Source organism: Homo sapiens, chromosome 8 (genome assembly GCF_000001405.40).
Source record: "Homo sapiens chromosome 8, GRCh38.p14 Primary Assembly".
In the NCBI taxonomy this organism is placed as follows: domain Eukaryota; kingdom Metazoa; phylum Chordata; class Mammalia; order Primates; family Hominidae; genus Homo; species Homo sapiens.
This window is the reverse complement of record NC_000008.11, coordinates 56,112,942-56,114,412: the sequence shown is the minus strand read 5'-3', so window position 1 is coordinate 56,114,412 and position 1,471 is coordinate 56,112,942. Positions and strand designations below refer to the sequence as shown.

Sequence of the window (1,471 nt, the reverse complement as noted above, 5' to 3'; positions counted from 1 at the left end):
AGTGTGAAACAATTTCATTGTGCTTTGTGGTCTCTTTAGTCTGAGGACTGATAATGTGCAGCGGATGAGACTTGAAAAAAACGTATTTTATTATAATTTAAGAAATAATGTAAAAGAGGGGTGAGTTCTGAGGCAGCTCCATGCTGTTTGTCTGGCATGAGCTTGTTTTTATAAGAATTCACTTCAAGTGTGGAAGGGAAATGCTTTCATCTGAAAGGGATAGCTGTGCTTCATTCCGGTTTCTCCCTCCATCTGATAAAAACTCTTGCTGAGTGACAGCACAGATGTAGCTCATTTGGAACAAGTGAAGGAAAAGGAGAAAAGGGATGAGGTGGAGCGAAGGAGTAGTCAGTCATGTTTCCAAAGTCCCGCGGTTTCCCCTAGTCTCTTCATTCACTCCAGCGGCCCTGGTGTCCCCCTGCAAAGTGCGATGCCCTCGCCCCTGGCCCTACGCCCCTACCTCCGGAGCGAGTTTTCCCCATCGGTGGACGCGCGGCCCTGCAGCAGTCCCTCAGAGCTACCTGCGAAGCTGCTTCTGGGGGCCACTCTTCCTCGGGCCCCGCGGCTGCCGCGCCGGCTGGCCTGGTGCTCCATTGACTGGGAGCAGGTGTGCTTGCTGCAGAGGCTGGGAGCTGGAGGGTTTGGCTCGGTGTACAAGGCGACTTACCGCGGTGTTCCTGTGGCCATAAAGCAAGTGAACAAGTGCACCAAGAACCGACTAGCATCTCGGCGGAGTTTCTGGGCTGAGCTCAACGTAGCAAGGCTGCGCCACGATAACATCGTGCGCGTGGTGGCTGCCAGCACGCGCACGCCCGCAGGGTCCAATAGCCTAGGGACCATCATCATGGAGTTCGGTGGCAACGTCACTTTACACCAAGTCATCTATGGCGCCGCCGGCCACCCTGAGGGGGACGCAGGGGAGCCTCACTGCCGCACTGGAGGACAGTTAAGTTTGGGAAAGTGTCTCAAGTACTCACTAGATGTTGTGAACGGCCTGCTCTTCCTCCACTCGCAAAGCATTGTGCACTTGGACCTGAAGCCCGCGAACATCTTGATCAGTGAGCAGGATGTCTGTAAAATTAGTGACTTCGGTTGCTCTGAGAAGTTGGAAGATCTGCTGTGCTTCCAGACACCCTCTTACCCTCTAGGAGGCACATACACCCACCGCGCCCCGGAGCTCCTGAAAGGAGAGGGCGTGACGCCTAAAGCCGACATTTATTCCTTTGCCATCACTCTCTGGCAAATGACTACCAAGCAGGCGCCGTATTCGGGGGAGCGGCAGCACATACTGTACGCGGTGGTGGCCTACGACCTGCGCCCGTCCCTCTCCGCTGCCGTCTTCGAGGACTCGCTCCCCGGGCAGCGCCTTGGGGACGTCATCCAGCGCTGCTGGAGACCCAGCGCGGCGCAGAGGCCGAGCGCGCGGCTGCTTTTGGTGGATCTCACCTCTTTGAAAGCTGAACTCGGCTGA

General features: G+C 55.9%; 1 protein-coding gene across 1 annotated transcript, besides 1 other annotated feature; it reads left to right on the top strand.

Moving 5' to 3' along the window:
* Positions 1-430: 430 nt before the first annotated feature.
* On the top strand, positions 431-1,471 carry MOS (MOS proto-oncogene, serine/threonine kinase). The gene has a single exon (NM_005372.1). The coding sequence runs from the start codon at positions 431-433 to the stop codon at positions 1,469-1,471; it is 1,041 nt and encodes a 346-aa protein (NP_005363.1).
* Positions 552-1,052: an enhancer, noted in NCBI's record as "H3K4me1 hESC enhancer chr8:57025920-57026420 (GRCh37/hg19 assembly coordinates)". NCBI's record gives its function as "activates a minimal SCP1, AML or CMV promoter by ChIP-STARR-seq in primed H9 embryonic stem cells {active_cell/tissue: H9 hESC(primed)}" and the evidence as "EXISTENCE:reporter gene assay evidence [ECO:0000049][PMID:30033119]".